At 42.5% G+C, this 12557-nt stretch overlaps 1 protein-coding gene across 5 annotated transcripts in view, besides 1 other annotated feature; it reads right to left on the bottom strand.

Moving 5' to 3' along the window:
* The window catches only part of CCNY (cyclin Y), a 325643-nt gene that overhangs the window by 178250 nt on the left and 134836 nt on the right, over positions 1 to 12557 (bottom strand). The window lies entirely within an intron of this gene.
* Positions 643 to 937: a silencer, noted in NCBI's record as "tiled region #675; HepG2 Repressive non-DNase unmatched - State 7:EnhWF". NCBI's record gives its function as "represses a minimal TATA promoter and a strong SV40 promoter by Sharpr-MPRA in HepG2 cells {active_cell/tissue: HepG2}" and the evidence as "EXISTENCE:reporter gene assay evidence [ECO:0000049][PMID:27701403]".

Here is a 12557-nt window from a genome sequence, read left to right as displayed (position 1 = left end):
AATCACAATTACTAGGCTTTTCACAGCGCGAAATTCTTTTAAAGAAAAATGCACATGTTAATTGAATCAAGGCAGTTTGGGCAGTTCTTGTATTTCAGCATTTTCACCATTAACCTATCCTTATAAGTTATCTCTACCAGGCTTCTCAAAGTGCAGGCAATTAACTAAAGCTTTAATTAGGAGTGGAGAAATCAGAAAACAGCCAAATGGTCTCTATGAGGAAGACTTGGGCATTACCATAGCCACAAGGCCATTTCTAGCCACAGCTCCACGTCTCTTGGAGAATGCTGTTTCCCAGCAGTCGTTACAGGAGGGGAAACATAAGTTGCACGGAGCACTGGAGAGTGAAGAACGGGTCCACTGAACCAAACACTGGCAAAGAAAGGCTCAACTCACTCCTGCTGTCCAGTCACATCCCTGTCTCTGGACAAACTGCATTCTTTTTTGCTGTTGTTTCATTTCTTTTTTTATATACAGATTAAAAGCCTAGATTTGTAAACTTTTTTGTTTTTTTAGAGACAGGGTCTCGCTATGTTGCCAGGCTGATCTCGAACTCCTGGCTCCAAGCAATCCTCTGGAGTGGCTAGAACTACAGGTGCGTGCCACCGTGCCCACACACTGCTTTAACAGTCCACACACAGCCATCTGCCCTTTCCCTCCTGATGATACTCATCCAATGATGCCTTCGCCATGCACTAAAAGCCTGGAGAAAATGGCCTGGAAATCTACTGAATGCAAAGAAGCTCTAAAGCCACAGCTCACCTAGTGAGCTGCCTCTTCACAGAGAATGGATGGAAGCCAGAGAAGGGAAAAGATGTAAGGAAAAACACAAGGGAGGCAAAACGAGCTGCAGGAGGGCTTCAGGTCAACACCAGCCTTCACGCAAAGTCTCCAGGAACAACCTGTGAGCAAGGCAGGTGTCCCTACAACAGGGTGGAAGGGAAAGCGGAAGGTGAATTTAAAAAGGAAATGCAGGGGTACTAAACGCCACCAATTTGCACTGGTTCACAGACATGCCTTCCCAAATAGTAACCAGGCCACGATTTCTGAGTCAATAAAAAACACAGGACACCACTCAGGACAATGACAACAAAAAGCCCGGACAGCAAGGTTTGAGAAAACACTGTTATTTGATTGCCTCATCTTTCCTCAAGTCAATTCAATTCATCATATACTTATAGGAGCATCTCTTTACTAGATCTGTGTAAAAGAAAAAATTACTCTGACGCTTATTAAAATGGTGAGGAAGACTTTCCCAGGACTACTGTGACAGATGCTAAGACTATCCTAATAGGGGAAGGAGACGGAGCTCAACTCAGAAAACACAGGGCAGCTGGGGACTTAGCACCAATGCGCAGAGGGAGCAGGGTCAGTGGATGGAAAATAACTCACAGGAGACAGCAAGGGGAGGGGGATTCTTGCTGAACGTAGGCCGGGGGAGGAGAGCTCAAGGGTGGGAGGTTGTAGCTAAACTGACTTAGCAGAGCTATGCAGCCTGAAGACAGGACCCAAGAAAAAGGCCTAGTCAAAAAGAGGACTCGAAGGAGACTGAGTAGCATCTGGTCAAGGAGATGGTCATTGTCATCTGGGCTAGGCTCTGTAATGGCCACAACTAAAGTCCTCCTGGCCGCTCCACCTCAAACCTTCCCACCAGTCCTGTCACCTGGTCATGTCACTTCTCCACTCCCAACTCTGCGGTGACTGTACAGCTCTGAGGACTGGCCTGGCATTCAAGGCCCAGCTCCCCAGCTGACCCTCTCCTCTGCTTTCAACCAGTGGGGTCACCTAAACACATCCCACACTTCACTTCCCCACCACTAGAATGTTCTCAGTGCCATCTGGCCATCTGTCAAAATCCTTACTCCCTTCAAGATCTGGTTCTAATTCCAATGCCTCTGAAGCTTTCTCAGATACCCCAGCAGGACTGGACCTCCTCATCCTCAATGAGTCCACGGGACATTCTCTCTGTACCAGTAACTAGATTATTTTTTTAATAGCATTTAGTCCTATTTGAACTATGAGCTCCTGAAGGACAGGAAGCCTGGCCTGGGTCACTCTACATCCTTCACAACACCCAGAACAGTGCCTTCCTCTGGTCTTTATGTTCTCAACTTCATGGAGGACATTCTTTCCTCCTTTGCCATAAAAATAAAAATTTCTTTCAAATGAGTTAATAAAACTCCACAGACTCAAAACTAATAATTGTTTTTTATCTATCAGGAATATTAAGTATGAAATGGATGATTCCCACTATACGCAGCAGGAAAAAAATATAAAAAGAGTTCCTATCTTGAAAGATCTTGTAGTTACATATCTTCTAAATTTTCTGCAATAAACATATATTCCTTTTACAAACATATGTTCCTTTTATAATGACATAAAATGTCATTTTGAAAACATTTTAATGGAACAAATAATAAATGTTATAGGAATAAATGTTATAGAAGGCTGCGATTCCTGTGACTAGGAACAGGCAATGAGACAGTCATGGGAGAAGTGAGGCCAGCACCAGCCAGGCCATGAAGGGTGGTAGATAAAAACAAAAGGAAGAGGGAAGAAGAGGAACGGTAGCAGAGCGGGGAGTAGGAGGGGGATAACAGGAAGAGGGAGGAGGGGCAGGGAGAAGAATCACAAAGTGACAGTTATGTCTACCACTGACTGAGAACCTGCTTGATCCCAGGCTCCTTCCAAGCATGAGCTTGTCTATCCTTGCCGCCATCCAGTAAGGCAGGTACTATCATTCCCATGTTAAAGATGAGAAGACTAAAAACTAGGGTAATGTTAAATATGGTGAACCCCAAGTTTCTCTTCAAAGAATCAGTATGTCAGTAGGTTCAGCTCTCTTATTCTTTGATTCTCCATTTTAAAGTTTAACTTCCTGGTTCTCATCGCCCACTTGCTTCTAGGTTCAGTAAACAACCTTCCGGCCAGTCCTAATCAGTAGTTCACATCTGTTCCCCTGGTCATCTGCTCTGTCCTGACTCATTCCGGTCATCTGCTTTGACCTGAGTCACCCTTGGTCACTTGCTCTGACCTAAGTCACCTTTAGTTACCTGTTCTTAACTGGCCTTCCCGCCAAACTACTCACCCCGCCACTCTGCCTCATACCCATGACCTCTTTAAAATAGCCAATCAGAATTGGCTTAAACTGTGCGGTCCAACCCTAGCCAATAGGGGAACAACATAGCAGTAGGGGCTACCTGCATCAGGAATAAGAACCCCTGCCCCTCCCCTGTCCAGGTGTGCTCTGGCCATTGTTCCATCTGCAATGAGCACCCTTTCTGCAGAAAGTAAAAATTGCCTTGCTGAGAGAATTAAATTTATGTTTGAGTGCTATTTCTTTGCGGCACTGGGGAACAAGCATTTCATTTCTAACAATAACTTGCCCAAAGTCACACATCTCATCCATCTAGTAAGTGGTGGAGTCTGTACTCTTTCCACTTTAAGAATATTTCAACTGGGTTCCGTGTTCCCAGAGGGATTCCTGGACACTTGGCCTCAGGCCCCAACTCAGCAGGGCCCTGGGTTCCCACTCATCTTCAACCTCAGCAATTCCACTTTAATTCATGTTATGTATCTTGAGCATTTACATGTCATTAAAAATAATAATAATAATACAGGAGTTCCATGACTTCCCAAACTAAACAACAGTTTGAAAATCACCGCCCTATGCCACATTGCCAAGTACAAAGGCATCTTTGGCAGCAAGTGTGCTGAGCTGGGGGTTACTGAGGGAAGAAGAGGTCTGCCCTGCACATAGGCTGGGAAGCAGAGGGAAATGAGACTGCAACTCTAAGGCCCAGAAAGTTCCAAGGCACTGAAGTAAGGGAGAGGTAAGGGAGCCCTTTTATCAGGTGACAACTGTCAATCATTGGTTCACACCAAAACCAAATCTGTAGGCACATCCTCAAAGCAGCCAGTATTTAAATAAAAACTTAAGAAAATCTGTTGTTTTCTTTAGGGCTAGCTTTGATATAAAAAATTTCAAATACCAAAATAAACACAACAGATAAGCAGCTCTATTTTAAAACCACCTGAATGTGTGCCAATCTTGCAAAAGAACATGGGTTTCCTCAGCAGCCTGATCCTGGGATGGAAATACCGTCTGCTGGCACACCAGGCATCCTGGGCAACTATTTTGGGGTGTTTTGCCATCCTAGGTTTGCTTCCTACTAATTAATCATTGCAAGGCATTTAGACAAGGTCAAAACTAATTGACAAGAATTTATCTATATTCAGCCACAAGTGCATGGGATAAAGCAAGATCAAATTATGCTACTGTGCTTATTTAATTTGTATGCCATATTTTGTACAAACATAATCTGATAGTTCTCACATTTTGAAAGTATAATCCTTAAAAGCGAGCCAATGAATGCCTGGTAGGAGATCTTCCTCATTTTCCATTTACTAAACACTGAGCTGATTTATGACTAAGTGATACTCTGTTTAGCAGAGAGCAGTCTTCAGATAGATAGGAAATAATTCACTTTGTTCATTTTGTTCTATGCTCATGACCAATATCAGACGATGCCTTTATGAGAGAAGGCAACAATAACACATTCTTATTGCATACCCAAGTTTTCTTCCAAGCATGAAGAATTGAACTTGGCATTTCACAGTTTTATGGAAGTCAACATAAAAGGGTTTTTGAGTTCTCACTACTTTAAGAGTCACAATTCTCAGCCGGGTGTGATGGCTCATGCTTGTAATCCCAGCACCTTGGGAGGCCAAGGTGGGCGGATCACAAGGTCAGGGGTTCAAGACCAGCCTTGCCGACACAGTAAAACCCATCTCTACTAAAAATACAAAAATTAGCTGGGCATGGTGGCAGGCGCCTGTAATCCCAGCTACTTGGGAGGCTGAGGCAAAAGAACTGCTTGAACCCGGGAGGCAGAGGTTGCAGCAAGCCGAGATCATACCACTGCACTCCAGCCTGGCAACAGAGCTAGACTCCGTCTCAAAAAAAAAAAAAAAAAAAGCACAGTTTTCTATTTCTTAGTTTGTTCATAAGTAAAATCAGGGAGTTGAAAGAGTTCCCTTTAGCTCAGCAAACACTTACTAAGCACCATATATGTACACCAGGGGCTGTGGTAATGCCAGGATTCAAAGATGAAACGAACAGTGCCTGACCTTGAGAAGTCTGTAAAATGTAGTAGACTACAGTAGTAGTAGCAGTAGTAGTAGTAGCAGCAATAAAATATATATAAACAGACAACTTCTAATATAATCTGATATAGATGAGGGTTCTAAGGAAACACAGAAAGAGAGCCTGTCCTAGGCAGAATAACGTCCCCAAAGATGTCCTCGTCCTAATCCCTGGAACCTGCAATCTTACATGGCAAAGGGGAATTAAGGTTGCAGATGGAATTAAAGTTGTTAATCCACTGACTATAAAACAGATGTTCCTGGTATTATCTGGGTGAGCCTAAAGCAATCTCCTTAAAAGTGGAAGAAGAAGGCAGAAGAGACAGGGATGTGCTGACAGAAGTACACTCCAGACATGGTAGGCCACTGACTTTGGAAACAGGAGGGGGCCATGAGCCAAGGAACGCAGGCAACCTCTAGACACTGGAAAAGGCAAGGAAACAGATTCTCCCTGAGAGCCTCCAGAGGACCTCAGCACTGCCAGCCCTTTGATTTTAGCCTAGTGATACCCAGGTCAGACTTCTAAACTAGAGAAGTATAAGATAATGCATTTGTATTGTTTTAAGCCAGAAAGTGCATAGCAATTTGTTGTGGCAGCAGCAGAAAATGAACACAGAGCCTTTCTGTTGGAAAATGCAATTATTTATATGTCAAAAGAGAAAACGCAATTATTTATATGTCAAAAGAGAATACTCATTCCATCAGCCACACCCAACAAGGAGAGGAAGCTCATTAAACCTAAAGCTGGGTGCAAAAATGCAAATGTTGAGTGGTATATAGCCATCATGTGACACTAAGTTTCCAGCCTGCTCCCAGAACATCTTTCATAGACTCACCAGTCAACAGAGCTGTGATGTGGAAGACAAACTACTTGCCAATACAAGGCCATTAACTATTCATACAGAAACTGCAGTGCCACCTAGTACTTCTGTGCCACATATATAAGTGTTCATCTGGGCCTTCTGAGATGTCTGCTCTCAGACAATCTATTTTGTTTCAGCCTTTGTCAGCCAACACTCTACAAATATAGCCTACCTATATACTCTACAAATACACTCTCCAAATACAAATGGAGCACAACATTTAAATGTGATACCAGGAAAGGCTGCAGAAGACAGCCCACCCCTGGCCTGGGGCCAGAGCATCTCCTTCTCTAGAATTGCTCTCCAGGAGTCAAATATAGCCCCACAGTTACCTGTCAGGCCACATTCTGAAATGCTAAAGGAACATGAAAACACACAAAGGGGCTGCTTCCTCCTGGACACTGGCCCAGCATTTGTTCACTTACTTGAGATGACTCAACTAAGTCATCTCAAGTAAGTGAACGTGCACAAAGGCAGAAGAACTAAGGCCAGAGGGGAAGGGCCATACCTAATTTGGCTATTTTCAGGAAAGCTGTGCTTCAGTATGGAATCCTACAGCTGTGTTCAGAATCCACCAAAGATCTGTGACTTTAAATATTCTTACGTGGATCTTGGCAGTGAGTTCACTCAGGAAGAAGATGCTTAATTCTACATGCTATACATTAACTACTAAATGTATTTACACAAAACCCAAACATTTATCTTGCTTTATAAAATACACTTAGAAAACTCCACACAGTAAGTTTTTAAATAATAAGCAAACTGTATGTGCATGAGCACTTTTCAGAACACATGCACACCTGCACTCCCCTCCTCCCTTTTGTGGATTCCTTTCCTTTCTTTACCCACCTCTTCTTGGCATTATCCCCTGGCATCCTCCCTTGTTTATCTGATCAATCGACAGTTTGGAAGCCATTCTTCCCACCATCCTTCTCCCACATCTGCCCCACATACAACATGGAGCAGGCAGTCTCATGGCGGCCCAGAGCTCACTACTGTCCAGCTGTAGAGCAGCCTCCTCTGCATTTCTATCCAGAAGGGGCAGAACCCTGAAGCCTCAGAACCACCATCATCACCAGGCATTCTTATGGGAGCTCCCGCAACCCCTCAGCAAGCTACATGGGGAAGGAACTCAGCATCCTGAGGAGGAAAAGGACTATCTCACTGGCAGTAACTTTTTTAAAGCAATCAATCATAAGTTTTGGTGTTTTCCTTTGTTCATAAGTTAATCAAAGAGGAATGGGAGATTTTTTCCTGTGTATTTTTTAAGTCAGTCTCATTTCTCTCCCATAAAAGTTCAGAATAGATTCACCTCTAGAATAAAAGGACAGTGGAATTCCTCTCAGTAGTGTAGTATGTTGGCAGCTCAGGGGGAGCATAAAATGGTACTAGCTATGTTTTGGCCCAACAGCAGGAAATCACTGAAGGCCTGCTGGTGTTCACTGAAGAATGTGAACGTGCACAAAGGCAGCACTGCATTTGGGCCACTGCCAGCTTTTCACTCCCAACGCTTTCAGAGAATTGCACCATCCCCCACCCCTCCATAAAAACCAAACAACAAACAAAAAAACAGGTTTTACTAAAGACCTTCATTATTAAAAATCAATGAAGGAATCTTGACATATCTAAGAATGCATTTTCCACACATAATCAATCCTACAAAAGTAACAATATACTGTAAATGCCTCATTTGAAGATTAGTTCCCAGAAAACCTCCAAGTTTCCTTCAACTCGGTCAATATTGGAAGGCCGTACACTGCAAGATGAGCTCACACAAGTCACCACCATGTGGACTCCCGAGTCCATTTAAGTCATCAGTTTAGGGAAACCTGCATTCTCATATTGTAAAAGCCAATAATAAAGTATAGTATTTTTATAATGGAAACTGACATAATGGGATACTGCTTATATACAATAAACTTTAAAGCTCCAAACAACAAATACTCCCTTAGACTCAGTCACTACTAAAGAACAATCAAGTCTAACTTTGGATATCAGAGGCCCCTTCCTCACCTGCCATCTTCTAAGAACCAGGATGCATAGCTCTCTTAAGAGAGACCTGCAGGATGAGAAAAGCTGCCATGCTTTACCGGGAAATCCCTTTCCATTCTGGACCTGCCTTTTCTCTAGCACAAAGGTTAAAGGGAGCTAAGGACAAAAAAGGTTCCAGAGACTCTGACACGATACGAAGATTTAAAAAAGATAAATTCACAGAATGTAATGTATGACTTCTCAACAAGCCGGCCCCAAGTTAAGCATCCCCAGGTCAGTAGCTCTCTTCTATAGGAACGTGACACAAATTTTTGGCTAAATCTAGCAGAATTACATATCCAGAGGTCCAAAAGCGCACGCTATTCCTATCCCTCTGTTTCCCATTTCAATCAGATTGCTGGGGAAAAAAAAAACAGAAAGACAAAGGAGCAAGACACTTAAAACATGAGACGCATTAGGACAGATATGTAGTGACATTCAGAGCTCACACATGCTTATGGTAAATTCTGTTTTTGTGCTCAATGAAATCCCTAAGATGATGCTGACCTTTTCTCTTTCAAGAGGCTGAGCAAAAGGCTGGTATCACTCCTCAACAAAATAACTAAATATCTCATTCGTGGAAGAGGAGATCACAAAGTTCTCATTTATGGAAGGCACCCCAAGACTGGACGGTTCTGATGACGCACACTGCAAAGGGCAACTGGGTTTTAAAACGTTCTTATCTATTATTAGGAAGATTACAGTGAAACTCAATTTCACGTGTTTTAAAGAAATATCAGGTATTGGTAAGAATATGGGGCAACTGGAATATTCTCACCTTTGCTTCTGGGAGTATACAGTGGCATAACCACTTTGGAAAACTGTGGACAAAGCATTCCATGTGTTAATTAAAATTTGCAGGTACCAAATGATATTATGCCTCAAGTTTAGTTTTTAATTTTAAACACAAATAAAAACTAAAGTGGTCACACAGGGATCACAATCACTGAACTAACTTCATTTACCTGAATCACCCATTTAGTACAGGAGTACCACAGGAGTTGGAAATACAAATGATGTACAAATAATCCTTTATTGCTGGCAAACGGTGAGGGAGGGAGGGAGACCACTCGCATATCCCTGCTCTGGGTTAATCACCTTCTGCAAATTAGGGCTAAAAAGGATAAACAATAAGAGTATGATAATTTGAATTCACATATTGCTATACTTGAGATTTAATAGTATCAAATCACAATAATGAAAGATACAAGTAACCAGATTATGAGCCACTATCAATTCTCAATCCATCGATAGCTGTTATGTACCTGGATCTCTGCTACTATCTTTCTGCCACACTCACTATAAAATACAGATAAGCTCAATCCATATGGTAGGAACGAAGGCTGTAGATCTGACATTGTGCATTAATCTGAGTTCCTAGAGATGACTGCCTTTAGCTGAAATGGTGCCCAAAAGGAACTCATCAGTCACCTGAGCACAGGCAGGAACTTCCTGAGGCAAATGTGGGTATGGACCATGGCAGAAATTAGATAATCCCACCAAGGCATCAATTGAGGAGCCAACAGAATTCTCAGACGGCAGGCCTGCTGTCTCGGAAGCCCACGGAAGCAATTTGTGAGGAAAGCTCTTCCCACAAACCTAAACTGAAAGGGTCCCAGGGGCACCTTGTCCCTGGGGGAGAAGGACAGGCAAACTATGTGCCCAGGACTGGCCTGGAGTCATCTCCACACATGAGTGTATAGACCCAGATGGACTCACCCTATGTGAGTCGTGATGTGTACCCACCCCGCCCCTCCACTGCAGGGCCACTCGAAAGCCAAGTAGCTGTGAAAGGAAAACAAAAACTTGGGACTCCAATTCAATATGTCAAAAGGAGAAATATTAAGCTGAAAGCTAAGTCATGCAAGATGCTGCCTTTCCTTTTGTTCCTACGTAGATAGCTACTGATAAAACGTTAAGTATCTCCACAGGCGGCTACTCTATGTTCACCTTATCTAGGTAAAGTGTTGATTTACTGAGTTCCAGAGGAATACGTAACTGACTATTCCCCTACCTGCTCCTTTTCTCTTGCAACATGTGGATTCAGTAATACCCTACCCTCTTTCCCCTTCAGCCTGCTTTTCCCCTTTGAATACTAATGCCCTCAAAATCATCTTTGGAGAAAAGCACAGACTATAAACTGCTTGTGTGATGCCATGTTTTTTTTAATCCCCGTCATTGTCCTTAATCTTAGCAAAATAAACTTCTAAACTGATTGCGACCTGTCTCAAATACTTTTGGGTTTATATAGCTATTCTGCTAAAATATGAAGGGGAAGGAAACCCTCCTTTAATCAGAATTTATGGTGAGGGAGTTGTAATTGTTTCCCAGTGTGCTGTCTGTGAAACATCATCAGAAAATGTGTTTAACAGAACATTTCATAGTTAAGTTTAGGAAATGTTACTTAATATATATATATATATATTCTTACTCTCATTCCCCACAATGCATAATACAATTTACCATTGACCATATAAAGTGCTTAGAGTAGTGCAGGAAAGAAACCTGCTTTACTCTAAGCCAGGTTTTTCCCAATCTTAGTTGATAAATCTTTTTTCTACCTAAAAGTACTGTCCCCAATCTAGCTTGATCTTAAAAATCATCTAGGACTATTATGTTAAAACAAGATTCCCCGATCCCTTTATCAAAAACTTTAAGGGAGGGGTCAGGTAGCTTAACAGGCACATGAGGTGACACAATCAGAACAGTTGAGAAAATATTGATAAGCTAACATTTGGCCAGAAATACTTTCTTCTTTTGAAAATGTTTCAGGCCAGGCACGAGGGCTCATGCCTGTAATCCCAACACTTTGGGAGGCCAAGGTGGGCAGATCACCTGCGGTCAGGAGTTTGAGACCAGCCTGGCCAATATGGTGAAACTCTGTCTCTACTGAAAATACAAAAATTAGCTGAGCGTGGTGGCGGATGCCTGTAATCCCAGCTACTCGGGAGGCTGGGGCAGGAGAACTGCTTGAACCTGGGAGGCAAAGGTTGCAGTGAGCCGAGATTGTGCCACTGCACTCCAGCCTGGGCAACAGAGCAAAACACCATCTTAAAAAAAAAAAAAGAAAAGAAAATGTTTCTAAAAGTTTCTAGTTCAATTTCCTACTTTACTAAGTTTCATACGCTGAATATTGATTCAACGTCATTATTCTAAGCACTGTTATCCATTTACAGTCACCCCTAGGTCATCTGCAGGTGACTGGTATTTGGACAAACACCAAAATCTGTGCATGCTCAAGTCTCCCCATCGGAGCTGTAGAACCCACAGATACAGAAAAAGGCAGTTCTTGGTCACGCAGGTTTTGCATCCCGAAATATTGCGTTTTCGATCCATGTTCAATTGAAAACAATCCACATATAAGTGGACTAATGTGGCTCAGACCCAAGGTGTTCAGGGTCAGCTGTGTAGTACTAAGGGTACACAGAGTGTAGTATGGTTGACTCTCTACTGGTCATGAGTATATCACAGCAGCAGTTTGTTTGTTTGTTTTTTACCTTTTGGATTTTATTTTCACTAAGTTAATCATAATAATAACAACAATTATAATTACTGAGCTCTTAAATGTACTGTCTCCCATAGTTTTCACAACAACCTTATGAGAAAAGTACTGCTGTTATTTTTCCCATTTTGAGGAAATGAAGAAGCCGGCCATGCAAGTTTAAGTAACTTGCCCTAAGTCAGTGTCTCAAGCTCAGCACTACTGGACAACTGGGCCCGGTAATTCTTTACTGGAGGGGTAGAGGGGCTGTCCTGTGTACCACAGGACAGTTAGCAGGAGTCATGTCTTTACCCACAAGATGCCAATAGCAGCCCCCATCCAGTGGTGATAACTAAAATGTCTCCAGACCTTGCCAAATGTGCCCTGGGGGCAAAATCAATGGAGAAGCACTGTTCTAAGTGATGCTGGAGATGAGAGTCAAGAAGCCAGGGTTCTGGCTGAGGTCTTACCACTGCAAAGGCGCCACGGCCCCCTCCCAAGAGAAGGCATCAAGCCCCCTTTGCATGCTCCAAGCAAAGGAGCCGGCAGGAGCTCTTGCCTCTGTCGCACACACAGTCTGTCAGCACTGCAGACAGGCCTGAAGCTTGACAAATATCAAAGTGAGACAAAGCTGTACCAAGTGCCAGCAATTTCAGACACAGAGTAATCCTTCAGTACAAGTAATGCCCTGTGTAACTTTCTTCCTATCCTAACGGTTCCAGTTGCACATATGAAAGATTCTCAATCTCCTCACTTAAAAACGAATCACAGAAAAAGCCTTCGCCTACAACGGCATATCTAACACATTAGACACCCAGGAAGGAATATTTTTTAACACACCCTCCATGTATGAAAAAAATTATTTTCAGTAATAGTTATGTAAAAATCAGTAACTATTATTTTCTTGATTTGTTCTTTAGTTTTAAAACAACTGTCTTAAATGTGATAAGTTTTAATTTTACAGATATTATTTTTGCACTTACCAAGCAAAAATATTACACCTCATGGTTTGCATTCTGTTTCACTGTTGTAATTTT

The sequence above is a fragment of the Homo sapiens genome, chromosome 10 (assembly GCF_000001405.40).
Source record: "Homo sapiens chromosome 10, GRCh38.p14 Primary Assembly".
In the NCBI taxonomy this organism is placed as follows: Eukaryota; Metazoa; Chordata; class Mammalia; order Primates; family Hominidae; genus Homo; species Homo sapiens.
The sequence above is the reverse complement of the archived record's forward strand: the minus strand, read 5'-3'. Positions and strand labels throughout refer to the sequence as shown.